At 54.0% G+C, this 14,637-nt stretch overlaps 1 protein-coding gene and 2 non-coding genes across 3 annotated transcripts, besides 9 other annotated features; 1 reads left to right on the top strand and 2 right to left on the bottom strand.

Moving 5' to 3' along the window:
- Nucleotides 473-1,198: a transcriptional cis regulatory region, noted in NCBI's record as "candidate enhancer chrX.2695 targeted for multiplex CRISPR interference". NCBI's record gives its function as "positively regulates ABCD1 and IRAK1 gene expression with high confidence in K562 cells {active_cell/tissue: K562}" and the evidence as "EXISTENCE:mutant phenotype evidence [ECO:0000015][PMID:30612741]".
- Nucleotides 473-1,207: a biological region, named in NCBI's record as "CRISPRi-validated cis-regulatory element chrX.2695". NCBI's record gives its function as "regulatory_interactions: ABCD1 | IRAK1".
- Nucleotides 548-677: an enhancer, noted in NCBI's record as "active region_30050". NCBI's record gives its function as "activates an Ori minimal core promoter by ATAC-STARR-seq in GM12878 lymphoblastoid cells {active_cell/tissue: GM12878}" and the evidence as "EXISTENCE:reporter gene assay evidence [ECO:0000049][PMID:35858748]".
- Nucleotides 848-1,207: an enhancer, noted in NCBI's record as "active region_30049". NCBI's record gives its function as "activates an Ori minimal core promoter by ATAC-STARR-seq in GM12878 lymphoblastoid cells {active_cell/tissue: GM12878}" and the evidence as "EXISTENCE:reporter gene assay evidence [ECO:0000049][PMID:35858748]".
- Nucleotides 2,050-2,099: an enhancer, noted in NCBI's record as "active region_30048". NCBI's record gives its function as "activates an Ori minimal core promoter by ATAC-STARR-seq in GM12878 lymphoblastoid cells {active_cell/tissue: GM12878}" and the evidence as "EXISTENCE:reporter gene assay evidence [ECO:0000049][PMID:35858748]".
- TMEM187 (transmembrane protein 187) lies at nucleotides 3,296-13,736 on the bottom strand. Its single transcript, NM_003492.3, has 2 exons — nucleotides 13,630-13,736; nucleotides 3,296-4,640 (listed from the first exon to the last, which is right to left on the bottom strand). Exon 2 carries the CDS (start codon nucleotides 4,425-4,427, stop codon nucleotides 3,642-3,644), a length of 786 nt encoding a protein of 261 aa, NP_003483.1. The 5' UTR covers nucleotides 4,428-4,640; nucleotides 13,630-13,736; the 3' UTR covers nucleotides 3,296-3,641.
- On the bottom strand, nucleotides 5,313-5,393 carry MIR3202-1 (microRNA 3202-1). The gene has a single exon (NR_036174.1). It is a non-coding gene; the product is annotated as a microRNA 3202-1 (primary transcript).
- MIR3202-2 (microRNA 3202-2) lies at nucleotides 5,314-5,392 on the top strand. The gene has a single exon (NR_036175.1). It is a non-coding gene; the product is annotated as a microRNA 3202-2 (primary transcript).
- Nucleotides 5,907-6,016: an enhancer, noted in NCBI's record as "active region_30047". NCBI's record gives its function as "activates an Ori minimal core promoter by ATAC-STARR-seq in GM12878 lymphoblastoid cells {active_cell/tissue: GM12878}" and the evidence as "EXISTENCE:reporter gene assay evidence [ECO:0000049][PMID:35858748]".
- Nucleotides 13,452-13,561: a silencer, noted in NCBI's record as "silent region_21079". NCBI's record gives its function as "represses an Ori minimal core promoter by ATAC-STARR-seq in GM12878 lymphoblastoid cells {active_cell/tissue: GM12878}" and the evidence as "EXISTENCE:reporter gene assay evidence [ECO:0000049][PMID:35858748]".
- Nucleotides 13,672-14,121: a silencer, noted in NCBI's record as "silent region_21078". NCBI's record gives its function as "represses an Ori minimal core promoter by ATAC-STARR-seq in GM12878 lymphoblastoid cells {active_cell/tissue: GM12878}" and the evidence as "EXISTENCE:reporter gene assay evidence [ECO:0000049][PMID:35858748]".
- Nucleotides 14,352-14,591: a silencer, noted in NCBI's record as "silent region_21077". NCBI's record gives its function as "represses an Ori minimal core promoter by ATAC-STARR-seq in GM12878 lymphoblastoid cells {active_cell/tissue: GM12878}" and the evidence as "EXISTENCE:reporter gene assay evidence [ECO:0000049][PMID:35858748]".

Below are 14,637 nucleotides of genomic sequence, written 5' to 3'. Positions count from 1 at the left end.
ACCATGCCCAGCTAATTTTTGTATTTTTAGTAGAGATGGGGTTTTGTCATGTTCGCCAGGCTGGTCTTGAACTCATGACTTCAGGTGATCCACCCGCCTCAGCCTCCCAAAGTGCTGGGATTACAGGCGTGAGCCACTGCACCGGGCTTAAAACTATTTTTGTGTGTGTGTGTGTTTGTTTGTTTTTGAGACAGAGTTTCGCTCTTGTTGCCCAGGCTGGAGTGCAGTGGCGTGATCTCGGCTCACTGCAACCTCTGCCTCCCAGGTTCAAGCGATTCTCCTGCCTCAGCCTCCCGAGTAGCTGGGATTATAGGCACCCACCACCATGCCTGGTTAATTTTTTGTATTTTTAGTAGAGACAGGGTTTCACTATATTGGCCAGGCTGCTCTCGGACTCCTGACCTCAGATAATCCACCCGCCTTGGCCTCCCAAAGTGCTGGGATTACAGGCGTGAGCCAGAGCGCCAGGCCCTAAAACTATTTTATGTGGGGAGAAAATACCCAGGCCATGGCAGCAGAAAGCAAGGAAGAAGCCACGTGGAAGCCCTCCTGGCGCTTCTTCCAGGGAGGTGAGCAGAGAGCACCTGGGGCCAGGAGGCGGCATGCCTGGGTTTCTGCTCCTCCTCACTGTAACTTTCAGCCAAGTCAAACTGCTAGAGTTTCAGTTTCTTTATCTGTGAAATGCCGGGGCTGGCACAGATGGTTTCTAAGATCCCTCCCAGGCCTGGAACCTCTAAACCGTTAGGTCAAAGGTCGGGGAGAGGCCCCATCTGGCAACCATTGGCTCCCCAGCTGTGCTGGGGACGCAGTGGAGCAGCGAGACTGAGACCAAGACCAGTAACGGCAACGGCGGCCCTGACAGCCAATCCCCCTGGGCGAGGCCGAGCTCCTCCGTGGACTGCAGAGCTGGAGGGAGGCACAGCCGCCAGCCTCCTTCCTCCAGTGGCTCAGGGGTTGGTGGAATCCGCAAACCCCGGGCCAGGGCTGAGGCACTCTGAGGTCCCGGCCCCAGAAGGGGGGTTCGCCTGGGCAGGAAGGGATGCAGGAAGCTGTGTGACTAATGGCAACTGGCCATACTTGGAGAAACACTAATTTCAAAAAGGGCCTGGGGAGTGCAGGTTCCAGGCCGGGGCCTGCCTGGAGCCTTCTTTGCCACCTGCTCTGCCTTGCGCAGGTTCCGGGGCTTCTGGCTCTGCTTGTGTTGGCTCAGGACGTGGTTGTTGGATTTAGCAAATAACAATCAGAACACCCAGTGAAATCTGAATTTCAGGTAAACAATACTTTTTTAGTAGGAGAAATGTCTCATGCAACATTTGAGACACGCTTGTGCAAAACCATTGTTCATCGCCTGGCGTATAATCTGGCAACTCTGGCAGGAGAGGGAGGGAGCGGAGCCAGGCTTCCTGCAGTCCCTGCCCCTCTGGAGGTGTCCCCTCCACATAAGCCTCTCCTTTGGGTGGGGTCCACTCTTCCAGGTGTCCCACAAAACCGCCCTGAATCACCCCAATCTAGGCACACCACCTGTTTCCCGTGGGACCCCGCCTGACCCAGGAGGCTCGCAGGGCTGTTTATTACACAGGTATTGGTAGGAAGAAAAAGTAAAATCGTGATGAGTGCTTGTTGCTGCGAGGTGTGGCATGAAGTCCCAGCAGTCCTCTGTCAATGAGGGAAACAGCTACTCACAGAGAAATCACAAAAGGGGATCCCCCACTGCTGGATGAAGAGCCTGCCCCCACCCTGTCTCTGAGCCCGCATGGAAGCCCGCCTTCTTTTCGCCCTCCCTCCAGCCTCTGTGAAGTAAGGGTGGCCTCTCTGGTGATGTGTGCAGCCTCTTCCCTCTTCTAGGGCACATGGTGCTTTCGAGACGACCTCAAATGGAACCAGGCTGTTTCCCAAGCAGGTGCTGTCCTTGCTCTCCCCTGCCAACCACGTGCCCCACCCCCAGGCCCCAAGCCCTGGGTCGGGTCCTGCCATTTGCCCCAGGTCCTTACCTGGTGGCAATGTGCTCAGCCAGCCAGGACAGAACATCCAGCCCAGGTGCCCAGTTCCAGAAACATCTCAGTCATCACAGTCGTGGGCCGAATGCCAACCTCGAGGGCACTGAGCAGGTGCACATGGGTGGCCCATGCTGAGATGCCATTTGGCAGGGACAGGGCATCCTCTCTCCTCTGCCCTCACCTTTGGAGCTGGTCACTTCTCCATTTAATTTGTGGGCTTAAAGCAGACCCTCCTTAGTACTTAAGGCTCCAGGGACAAGACTATGGAGTCTGGGATGAAGAGCCCCTGAGTTAAATGACATTACCTGTCTTCAGGAGTCCCCTTTACAGGCCGGGCGCGGGAGCTCATGCCTGTAATCCCAGCACTGGGAGGCCGAAGCGGGCGGATCACCTGAGGTCAGGAGTTAGAGACTAGCCTGGCCAACATGATGAAACCCCGTCTCTACTAAAAATACAAAAATTAGCCGGGCGTGGTGGTGGGTGCCTGTAATCCCAGCTACTCAGGCAGCTGAGGCAGGAGAATCGCTTGAACCCGGGAGGCAGAGGTTGCAGTGAGCCAAGATCACACCATTGCACTCCAGCCTGGGCAACAGAGCAAGACTCTGTCTCGAAAAAAGGAAGTCCCCTTTACAGACCAGATGCCTTCAGATGAAAGGAGGTGAGGCAGGCCTCTAAGTAACATAGTGACCGGCAGGAAGGACTGTCCCGGGAGTAGAGAGGGTGGCACGGAGTCCTCAGTGCCTCTCTGGCTGCGGCTAAGAATGACCCAGCATCCTGACCACAAACTAGAGAGTCTGGGCCTTGGGCTCGAGGGCTCAAAAACTGTTGCCTGCATGAGAAGCACGTGCCGCCTCCAGCACAGTGCCTGACGATACTGTCAGCAGACTGGTTCGCAAGGACCTGGGTGACGGGCAGGTGGGGACTGCTCAGACTGTAGCCACTAAGGGCATCTAAGCCACACCCTGGCTCTGAGGGGAGACCCACAAAGCAACTTTCTGTTGAGAGTTCAACTTTTGACATTTGTGTGTTTCCTCATCTGGATGCACACTGCCTGGTTCCACAGACGATCTGAGGTGATGTGGCTCTCACGTGACCTGCCTACAGTTAACAGTCACAGATGTCATGGGGATAATTGAGTGATTTCCCCATCAGTCTGCTGGGCACGTATTTAGTGTGACTCAGTCTCCCTGAATCCAGCCGCCTCTAAGGACACTCACTGGTACCCCACTGACTGGCCTGCCTCACTGCTGCCAGTCCACACCCAGAGCTGACACCCCAAAGATACTCCAGACGATCGCTCTCTGTCCAACCATGAGCATGAGGGGCTTCTTGGTGTCATTTCCACTCCCCTTGCCAATATTTATTTGGAAACATTTCAAACTACAGAAAAGTTATGCAAATTACATCAGGAACACACACATCCCCTGTGCGGAGATCTGTGCTTTATGTCTTTGAAAGTAAGTTGTCGAGATCACAGCACTCCACCCCTCCACACCGAAGCCCGCAGCTTCTCAGGAAAGGGCAGTCTTGTGTGATCAGTGCATATCATCACACACAGGATGTCTGACACTGGCACCACGCTGCCATCTCAGAGTCCATTTCAATGCTGGGGGTCATCGGTTTTCAGCAGGTTCTTCCCTGGGTTCAACGCGTCTTCCCGCCAGAGGGATGGAATCTTGGGTGAGTGTTGAAATGCGTCAGAAACAAAAACGCAAAGTGGAACTGGAGCACGTCACAGACCTTGGACCAGAAGTGGCCTGTGAGGCACTGGAAGAGACGCCACCGTGCGAGCTGATGGTCACACAGCTTGAGGACCACAAAGCCCAGGCAAGAGAGCACCCCCAAAGCTAAGTAGGTAGCCGAGGTGGTGCTGCCATAGTGCCTGTGGGTGCGCAGCGCCTGCCCCACAGCGGCCACCACGTGAGCACCCAGTGCGACCTCGAAGCCCTGGGGATGCAGCAGAGCGAGGCCATAACTGGCCAGGGAGACGCACTCAAGAGAGAGGAACAGCCAGGGCCGCCAGCCGCGGTCTAGGTAGAGGCACCAGGCCACGGGCCATGCAAAGATGGGCAGTGTGAGCCACTGGTCCAGCACCGCGGCACGGCGCCACTGCGTCCACAGGCGCAGCCACTGCACGGGGCCATAGAGCAGGGCCATGGCTGCGAACACGTCCTTCAGGTAGCGGGGACCCAGCCCCATCGCGCCGCCCCTGTGCAGCCACGACAGCCCCAGCAGCGTGTAGGCCATGTTCACGAGTGAGTTGAACGGCATGGCCAGGAAGGCAGGGAGGCCGGCCACGGGCGCCTCGGCGTAGTGCTCATAGCCCACTTGCACGGAAACACTGTCGAAAATGCCCGTGAACACAGCCACGGCACAGAGGCCACCGGCCACGGCCACGTGCACGAAGGCCTGCCCCCACTCTGGATTCATCTGGAACCGGCGGCGTGACCTGGGGCAGGGAGCTTCAGAGAGCAGCCTTCAATACGCAGCCTCTGCAGAACACTCTGGGCCTCCCGGCTGAGCCAGCAGAAAGAAGCCCCGTGATTTCGTGATTTCCGAGGCAGATGCTGCGACCTTGCCCCGAAGGAAGGCAGGAGTCCTGCTGATTGGCTGGCGCCAGCGGAGGAACGTTCTGCCTTTTTCCTTTGTGGTTACAAAAGGAGTGTGGTTAGAAAACAAACCGTCCCCAGCACCGCCTCCATGTTCCTGACCCCCGGCCTCAGGAGCTACCAACCATCTTCACTGGAGAAGCAAATCAGAGTGAAACCGCTGCACACTGACTCTCTCAAGCCTCTAGAATCCTCTATCACCCCTTTCTCCTGGCACCTAGGAAAATCCTGCCCATCGTCCTAGTTTCCTTAAAGCCACTGCATCTACAGACAAGACCTGTCTAGCTCTGTCATTACAACTCAGAATGCGCCTTCCCATGTCAGTGTGTTATAAAAGTGGACGTCTCCAGCCCCAAAGCCCTTTTCACCAAATACCCAGCTGAACTAGAGACCATTAGATGGAGTCCGAGCTCTGGCCTCTGACACAAGGTGGGGGATGGAGGAGGAGGAGGATTCACCGTCTGCCACTCAAGCACCAGGCCGGGAGGCAAGGGGGTGACCCGCAGGCTTCCCAGGCCAGCTTCCCTGGCTCACTCGCCTGCCCTCTCCTGAAGTGCCAAGCCCCAAATCACCTTCTTTCCTCAGGCCACCATAAAGCCTTCTGTCTCCTTCAGTCACAGAACCAGAGAGACAATTTAATTACCACTGACTGTCAACTGCTTTGGGGCCACTGGTGCTGTAAGTGAGCCCTAGTAGCTGAGAAATACATTAATATGGAAGGGAGAAGAGCTTTAATGCTCTGAAAATGACTCCAATCATTAAAGCTCTTCTCCCTTCCATATTAATAAATTTCGCACTCAAGAGGGTGGGCGGGTAGGCGGGCTCAGGGAGAGAGAAGGGTGGGCTCCAGTTCCTGGTCAGCTGATGCCAGACTGTTCAAACCTTGGCTCTCCCACTTACTAACCATGTGATCTTGCACCTTAACTGTCTTGGGCCTCGGTTTGTGCACCTTTTTTTTTTTTTTTGAGACGGAGTCTCACTCTGTTGCCCAGGCTAGAGTGCAGTGGCACAATCTTGGCTCACTGCAACCTCCGCCTCCCAGGTTCAGGTGATTCTCCTGCCTCAGCCTCCCTAGTAGCGGTGATTAGAGGCGTGTACCACCATGCCCGGCTAACTTTTCTATTTTTAGTAGAGTTGGGGTTTCACCACGTTGGCCAGGCTGGTCTTGAACTCCTGACCTCAAGTGATCCACCCGCCTCAGCCTCCCAAAGTGCTGGGATTCACAGGTATGAGCCACTGTGCCCAGCCCGGTTAGCTCACCTTTGACCTAATCGCTTAGAAGTTCCAGGCCTGGGAGGGATCTTAGAAACCATCTGTGCCAGCCCCGGCATTTCACAGATAAAGAAACTGAAACTCTAGCAGTTTGACTTGGCTGAAAGTTACAGTGAGGAGGAGCAGAAACCCAGGCATGCCGCCTCCTGGCCCCAGGTGCTCTCTGCTCACCTCCCTGGAAGAAGCGCCAGGAGGGCTTCCACGTGGCTTCTTCCTTGCTTTCTGCTGCCATGGCCTGGGTATTTTTATTTAGACACGGGGGTCTTGCTCTGTTGCCCAGGCTGGGGTGCAGTGGCACAATCACAGCTCACTGCAGCCTCCACCTCCTGGGCCCAAGCTATCCTCCTGCCTCAGCCTCCCAAGTAGTTGGGACCAGGGATATACCACCACCTTGCCCTGCTAATTTTTTTTTTTTTTTTTGAGACGGAGTCTTGCTCTGTTGCCCAGGCTGGAGTGCAGTGGTGCGATCTTGGCTCACTGCAAGCTCCATCTCCCGGGTTCACGCCATTCTCCTACCTCAGCCTCCCTACCACAGCGCCCGGCCTGCCCTGCTAATTTTTGTTAAAAAAATTTTGGGCCAGGCATGGTGGCTCATGCCTGTAATCCCAGCACTTTGGGAGGCCAAGGCGGGTGGATCACGAGGTCAGGAGATCGAGAGCATCCTGGCTAACACGGTGAAACCCCGTCTCTACTAAAACAATACAAAAAATAGCCAGGCGTGGTGGTGGGCGCCTGTTGTCCCAGCTACTCGGGAGGCTGAGGCAGGAGAATGGCGTGAACCCTGGAGGCGGAGCTTGCAGTGAGCTGAGATCGCGCCACTGCACTCCAACCTGGGCGACAGAGCGCGACTCCATCTAAAAAAAAAAAAAAAAAAAAATTGTAGAGACAGGGTCTCACCATGTTGCCCAGCCTGGTCTCGAACTCTTGGCCTCAAGTGATCCTCCTGCCTTGGCCTCCCAAAGTCCTGAGATTACAGGAGTGAGCCACTGCACCCAGCTAAACCCCTCTTAAGTTGAAAGTCCAGTTCCTATATTTTCGACTTATGATGGGTTTATCTGGACATTACCCTGTTATACATCAAAAAGCATATGTAGCTGGGCATGGTGGCTCACATCTGTAATCCCAGCAATTTGGAAGGCCAAGGTGAGAGGACTGCTTGAGTCCAGGAGTTTGAGACCAGCCTGGGCAACAAAGTGAGACCCTGTCTCTACACAAAATACATAAAATTAAATTTAAAAAATAAAATAAAAATTAGCCAGGCATGGTGGTGCACCTATAGTCCCAGCTCCTCAGGAGGCTGAGGCAGGAAGATCACTTGAGCCCAGGAGATGGAGGCTGCAGTGAGCTATGGGCCACAGAGCAAGACCCTATCTCTAAAAAAAAAAAAGCTAGGCGCAGTGGCTCACACCTATAATCCTAGCACTTTGGGAGGCCGAGGCAGGTGGATCATCTGAGGTCAGGAGTTTGAGACCAGCCTAGCCAATGTGGTGAAACCCCGTCTCTACCAAAAATACAAAAAAATTAGGCCGGGCACGGTGGCTCACGCCTATAATCCCAACACTTTGGGAGGCAGAGGCGGGTGGATCACTTGAGGTCAGGAGTTCCAGACCAGTCTGGCCAACATGGTGAAACCCTGTCTCTACAAAAATACAAAAAAATTAACCAGGCGTGGTGGCGCACGCCTGTAATCCCAGCTACTTGGGAGGCTGAGACGGGAGAATTGCTTGAACCCAGGAGGCAGAGGTTGCAGTGAGCCAAGATCGTGCCATTGCACTCCAGCCTGGGCGGCAGAGTGAGACTTCATCTCAGAAAAACAAAACAAAACAAAACAAAACAAAACAAAACAAAACAAAACAAAAAATTAGCCAGGTGTGGTGGCACATGCCTATAATCCCAGCTACTCGGGAGGCTGAGGCAGGAGAATCGCTTGAGCCCGGGAGGCGGAGGTTGCAGTGAGCCGAGATCACGCCACTGCACTCCAGCCTGGGCAACAAGAGCGAAACTCCCTCTCCCCCCCAAAAAAAAAAAAAAAAAAAAAAAAAGTGGCCAGGCGTGGTGGCTCACGTCTGTAATCCCAGCACTCTGGGTGGCTGAGGTGGGTGGATCAGTTGAGGTCAAGAGTTCAAGACCACCCTGGCCAATATGGTGAAACCCCATCTCTACTAAAATACAAAAATTAGCCAGGCGTGATGGCTCATGCCTGTAGTTCCAGCTACTTGGGAGGCTGAGGCAGGAGAATCGCTCAAACCTGGGAGGCGGAGGTTGCAGTGAGCCAAGATCGTGCCACTGCACTCCAGCCTGGGCGACAGAATGAGACTCCGTCTCAAAAAAAAAAAAAGTATCTGTATATGCAGACCACTTAGCACTATTTTATTATTACTTCATTTTATTTTGTTTTTTTGAGACAGACTCTTGCTCTGTCGCCCAGGCTGGAGTGCAGTGGCGTGGTCTCGGCTCAGTACAACCTCTCCCTCCGGGGTTTGAGTGATTCTCCTGCCTCAGCCTCCTGAGTAGCTGGGATTACAACTAAAATTAGCCCGGCTAATTTTTGTATTTTTAGTAGAGACGGGGTTTCACCATCTTGGTCAGGCTGGTCTTCAACTCCTGACCTCGTGATCTACCTGCTTCGGCCTCCCAAAGTGCTGGGATTACAGGCATGAGCCACCGTGCCTGGCCTATTTTATTTTTTTATTGAGACGGAATCTTGCACTGTCTGCACTGTTGTCCAGGCTGGAGTGGTGTGATCTTGCCTCACTGCAACCTCTGCCTCCCGTTTTCAAGAGATTCTCCTGCCTCAGCCTCCTGAGTAGCTGGGATTACAGGCGCCCGCCACCATGCACAGCTAATTTTTTGTATTTTTTTTAGTAGAGACAGGGTTTCACCATGTTGGCCAGGCTGGTCTCCAACTCCTGACCTCAAGTGATCCGCCCGCCTCGGCCTCCCAAAGTGCTGGGATGACAGGCGTGAGCCACCACACCTGGCCTATTTTATTTATTTTTTGGGACAGAGTCTCGCTCTGTGGGGCAGGCTGGGGTACAGTGGCAGGATCTCGGCTCACTGCAACCTCCGCCTCCCGGGTTCAAGCGATTCTCCTGCCTCAGCCTCCCGAGTAGCTGGAAGTACAGGCGGGCCATCACGCCCGGCTAATTTTTGTATTTTAGTAGAGATGGGATTTTGCCATATCGGCTGGGGTGGTATTGAACTCCTGACCTCAACTGATCTGTCCCCCTCAGCCTCCCAAAGTGCCGGGATTACAGGCGTGAACCACTGTGCCCAGCCTATTTTATTATTTTTAATAGCATATAGAGTGACATTTTGATACATGTATATAATGTATAATGATCAAACAAGGTAATTAGCATATCCATCACCTGGAACATTTATCATTTCTTTGTGTTGGGAACATTCCAAATCCTTTCTTATAGTCTTTTGAAAATACACAAGAAATTGTAGTTAACAGTGCTCACCCTACAGTGCAGAACAGCAGGATCCATTCATGCTATGAAGCTGGCATTTTGTATTTGTTATCCGACTCCTCCGAATCTTTCCCTACTCTCTAATCTTTCCAGCTTCTAATACCCACTATGCTTCTATTTCCATGAGCTTGATTTTTTAAATATTTTACATAAGAATTAACACATACAATATTTATCTTTCTGTTCCTGGCTTATTTCACTTAACATAACGTCCTCTAGGCTCATCCATGTTGCCACAAATAACAAGATTTATCTTATTAGTTTGTTTATTTCTTTGAGACAGGGTCTCGTTCTGTCTCCCAGGCTGAGTGCAGTGGTGTGATTGCAGCTCACTGCAGCCTCCACCTCCCAGGCTCAAGTGGTCCTCTCACTTCAGCCTCCCAGGTAAATGGGACCACAGGCATGTTACCATGCCTGGCAAATTTTTAAATTTTTTTTGAAAGACAGGGTCTTGCTATGTTGCCCAGACTGGTCTCAAACTCCTAGGCTCAAGCGACCCTCTCACCTTGGCCTCCCAAAGTGCTGGGATTACAGGCGTGAGTTACTGCACCCAGCCAATAGTTTTTTATTTTTTTTATTTTTTATAGTTGGTTTTGGTTTTTTTTGAGACAGGGTCTCGCTCTGTCACCCAGGCTGGAGTGCAGTGGCACAATCTCGGCTCACCACAGCCTGCGTCTCCCAGGTTCAAGCAATTCTCCTGCCTCAGCCTCCCAAGTAGCTGGGATTATAGGCGCCTGCCACCACACCTGGCTAATTCTTGTATTTTTGGTAGAGATGGGGTTTCGCCATGTTGGCCAGGCTGGTCTCGAACTCCTGATCTCAGGTGATCTGGCCGTCTTGGCCTCCCAAAGTACTGGGATTACAGGCTTGAAACACCGCGCCCGCCAACAGTTTATTTTTAAATGGCTCAATAATATTCCATCATGTATCTATACCACATTTTCTTTACATATCAATCCACTGGTGGACACTTAGATTGCTTCCATATCTTAGCTATTATAAGTAGTACAAAGGCACGAAGAACCTACATTGGGGAAAGGATGGTCTCTTCAATAAATGGCACTGGGAAAATTGGATAAGTATGTGAAGAAGAATGAAAACTAGGCCCCTATCTCTCACCACACACAGTAATCAACTCAACATGGATTAAAGACTTAAAAGTAAGACCTGAAACTATAAAGCTACTAGAAGAGGCCAGCGCGGTGGCTCACACCTGTAATCCCAGCACACTGGGAGGTTGAGGCGGGCAGATCACTTAAGGTCAGGAGTTCTAGACCAGCCTGGCCAACACAGTGCAACCCCGTCTCTACTAAAAATACAAAAAGTAGCCGGGCGTGGTGGCGCACATCTGTAATCCCAGTTACTCAGGGGGCTGGGGCAGGAGAAATGCTTGAACCCAAGAGGAGGAGGTTGCAGTGAGCCAAGATCACACCACTGCACTCCAGCCTGGGGCGACAGAGCAAGACTCTGTCTTTAAAAAAAAAAAAAAAAAAAAAAAAAAAAAAAGGCTGGGTGTGGTGGCTCACACCTGTAATCCCAGCACACTGGGAGGCTGAGGCGGGCAGATCACCTGAGGTCAGGAGTTCCAGCCCAGCCTGTCCAACATGGTGAAACCCCATCTCTACTAAAAGTATAAAAATTAGCCAGGGTGGTGGCATGCGCCTGTAATCCCAGCTACTTGTGAGGGTGTGGCAGGAGAATCGCTTGATCCCAGGAGGCTAAGGTTGCAGTGAGCCAAGATTGTGCCACTGCACTCCAGCCTGGGTTTCAGAGTGAGACTGTGTCTCAAAAAATAAATAAATAAATAAATACAAATAATAAAATAAATAAAATAAAACTACTAGAAGAAAATGGGGAAATGCTCCAGGAAAGATTTTATGGCTAAGACCCCAAAATCACAGGCAACAAAAACAAAAACAGACAAATGGGAGTATATTAAAGTAAAAAGCTTTTGCACAGCACAGAAGCAATCAACAATGAAGAGACAATATAGGAGAAAATATTTGCAAATGATTCATGTGACAAGCACTGTTTATTTTTGAGGTGCAATGTCCATCTGCCCTACTGCAATTTAGGCCCCAAATGGGTGGGACAGGGTCTGATTCCTTGCTCTTCCTCAGATGCCCAGTGAAGCCCTGCTCAATTTCAATTCAATTATATTAAAGAACAAAGCCAGCACCTCTGCTCCCTTTTACCAGTCCTGTTTGCTATTTCACTTCTCAAGCAGGTCCTGGGGCCCACCGCATCCTCCTGGGCCTCATTCTCAGCCTTCTTGCCTTGGAGTTCCGTTGCTGAGGAGGGCCACCAGGCTTGGCATGTGGGTGCCCCATTGCCCTCTGAAGCATGGTGTTGCCACACAGGAACCACAGTCCTCACTATCACTCCATACGTCCTTGCTTCACACAAGCCTGCCATCTCAGCATGGGGCACCCGAACTCCTCCTGCCCCGTCCTCCCAGTCAAAAAAGCCTCTGGGTCCAGGGGTGTGCACACCGCAGCCCCAGCATCTTTGAGCAGCCCTGGATGGGATCATGTCTGCCCTGGCTTTCCACCCTTCCATGACCAGCTTCCCATTCCATGTCCTGGATCATGTCCCAAAGTCTTGGCCAGACTTAAAGTGCCATCCCCATCCAGCCCTGTGAGCTCCTCAGGCCCAGCTCTGTCCTGGAAGCCCTTTGCCCACTTCGCCTGGCCATTGCCCTTGACTCAGCTGTCATTTCCTCTCAGGCACTTCCCCGTTCAGCTCCTGACTCCAGCTGAGACACCAGCTGAGGCCCCGCATGGCGTCTACAGGTCCTTCCCTGCACCCACCTAGGGCCCCATGGCACCCATGCTAGTCTGACCCTCCTGCCTGCCAGCAAGCAGGGCGGAGAGCTGGAACAAGAGTCAAACACTGTCAACTTGATCGAGGAAGAACTCCAGGAAGGGCATGGAAAGCAACTCCTCTTTCCGGCTGCAGGGGTTCAGTCTATCTGACCGGGGGTACGGGCTGACAGTGACCATGTAATCAAAGCACCTGTCCAAGACCCCCAGGAAAACCGAGCTGGTTACCTTATAGCCTAGCTTCCCTGTACCTTTGAATTGCCATGATCCTTATTATGTGACACTCAAATCTCGTCACAGCTTCCCCCAGCGCCTGGCATGGGAAAGCCAACACCTCAACAGCACTGGCCCCTGGGTCTGGGGTCTTTCAGGGAAGCCCTGGGAAGCCTGACAATCTCCTGGCTAAAGGCCCCAGACTCTCCCGCACGCGTTTAAACAGCAGGCACTGTCACCTCCAGGCCTTTAGCATTTATGGTTAGTTATGTCCCCCGCTCCGCATGACCTTTCTTGCTGTCTTTCTGTGGATAAAGGAATATCAATTAACATTAATTTAGCTTCTGGACTGATTCCAGGCAAGGCCCTTGGAAACCAGCAGCTGCTTTTGTGTGTGTGTGTGTGTGTGTGTGTGTTTTTGAGACAGGGTCTTGCTCTGTCGCCCAGGCTGGAGCAGTGGCGCGATCTCAGCTCACTGCAGCCCTGAACTCCCTGGCTCAAGCCATCCTCCCACCTCAGCGTTCCAAGTACCTGGGACCACAGGCGTGTGCCACCATGCCTCCGGGTCTCGCTATGTTGCCCCGGCTAGGCTCAAGCAATCCTCCCACCTCAGCCTTCCAAAGTGTTGGGATTACAGGCATGAGCCAACGCATCAGGCCTTAGTTTTCTTATTTACCATGGGTGGGGGACTTGGGGACATATGTGAGGTAACTAGCCAAGGTCACAAAGAGCAGGTGGTGGCACAGACAGGCAAGAATTCTTCTCTTTGTCCCTTCTCAAATGGATACTTCCAACTGCATGAACTAAAACACAGACGATTACAAAATACATGTAATATGTTGAGAGGCGACTTTAAAAATATTGTTGAAAATGTGTGAGAGGGTGACGTGTGCTTCTTTACTAACGCATTAAATTACAAGGTCTTCCAGCAGGACGCATAACTTCAGTAACTTCAAAGTAATAATTCTGCCCGCCGGTAGATCTGGTAGATCTTGTAATTTAACTGAACTTCTAGACGTTTACAACAAAAGCCACAGGCTCTGACAGGACCGGTCTGTCCATTTCTACTGGCGACTGCCGCTCCCGGGCAGCAGCTTGGGTCCCCGCGCTGCGGCCTGCGCGTGGCAGGGCGGATGCCGCCGCCGCCGCCGCCGCCGCCGCGCCCGGGCGGCCTCCTAGAGGAGGCGAAACGTGGGGGCGAGGCCGGGACCCACCTCCCAGGGCTGCGGTGAGCACTTACAGTATTGGCGCGAAAAGGCCAGCTATCACCATACGGGTATTTCGCCTCACTCGCCTCGCTGGGGGAAATTCAAATCTCCGAAAAGGGAGGATCCGAGCAGCGCCGGTGCGCCTGCGCGCAGGGCGGGACTCGAAGCCTGGGAAGCGGGCGGGGCGAGGTGACGCGAGATGACGCGGACGCCTCCCGCGGTCGCCCGCCCGGCTCGTGCGCCACCGGCCCGACTGCGGGCCTCTCGGCAGTGGGGGCGGCCGAGCGCGCGGCGGTCTGGGGCGCGCGGCCCGGCTCATTTTGCTGCGGCGCGGGCGGAGGCGGTGGCGCCCGAGGGCGGGCCCCGCAGCCTGGGAGCCTGGGAGCGGGCGGAGGCTCCACCCCCGGGCGCCGGCGCTCGGCTGCGTCGCCTCCCACTGTCGCCCCGCCCCCGGCTCCCCCGCGGCGCGCCTCGGGCCGCCTCCTGCGGCTGCTGGGTGTGCAGGGCGCGAAAATGCTCGCTTCCCGGCCGCAGGCGCGGCTGCAGTGGCTGTTCGCCAACCCCGGCCACCTGCGTGCCGCTGTCCCCAGTGCTGGTTAAAGGCAGTTCTTCGGGCGTGCGTCCCTTATCAACCCGAGAGACCGTTCCCAAGGGGGCGGGGCCGAGCGCGTCGGAGGGGTTAGCAGTCTCATCCGGGCATTTCCGAGATGCCGCCGCCGCCATCTTTGTTTTGTGCTGAAAGTCGCTATTGACGCCCGCGGACGGCCGGGCGAGGGGAAGTGGCAAGATGGCGGCTCCCAGGGCGGAGGCGTGGAGGCTCGCCCGGTGGGGGGGCCGTGGGGCGGGGCGCGCCTGCGCCTGCACCTGATCTGAGCGCGACTCGAGCTTTAGCCCAGCGCGCGGCAGCGCCGACCCCCACCCCCGCCGCGAGGCAGCGCAGGGGTCCTTTAAGAGGCTTGGGCCCAGGGGCGAAGCGGTGCGAGGGCGAGTGGGGGGAAGCGGTGACGTCACCCGGCTCCGCCTCCTCGCCCGACCGCCGG

The sequence above is a fragment of the Homo sapiens genome, chromosome X (genome assembly GCF_000001405.40).
Source record: "Homo sapiens chromosome X, GRCh38.p14 Primary Assembly".
In the NCBI taxonomy this organism is placed as follows: Eukaryota; Metazoa; Chordata; class Mammalia; order Primates; family Hominidae; genus Homo; species Homo sapiens.
Note: the sequence above shows the minus strand (reverse complement) of the source record. Positions and strands in the feature narration are given on the sequence as shown.

What these genes read in the sequence shown, in the direction of transcription:
- TMEM187 (NM_003492.3), bottom strand. Translation starts at nt 4,427, where the DNA reads ATGAATCCAGAGTGGGGGCAGGCCTTCGTGCACGTGGCCGTGGCCGGT.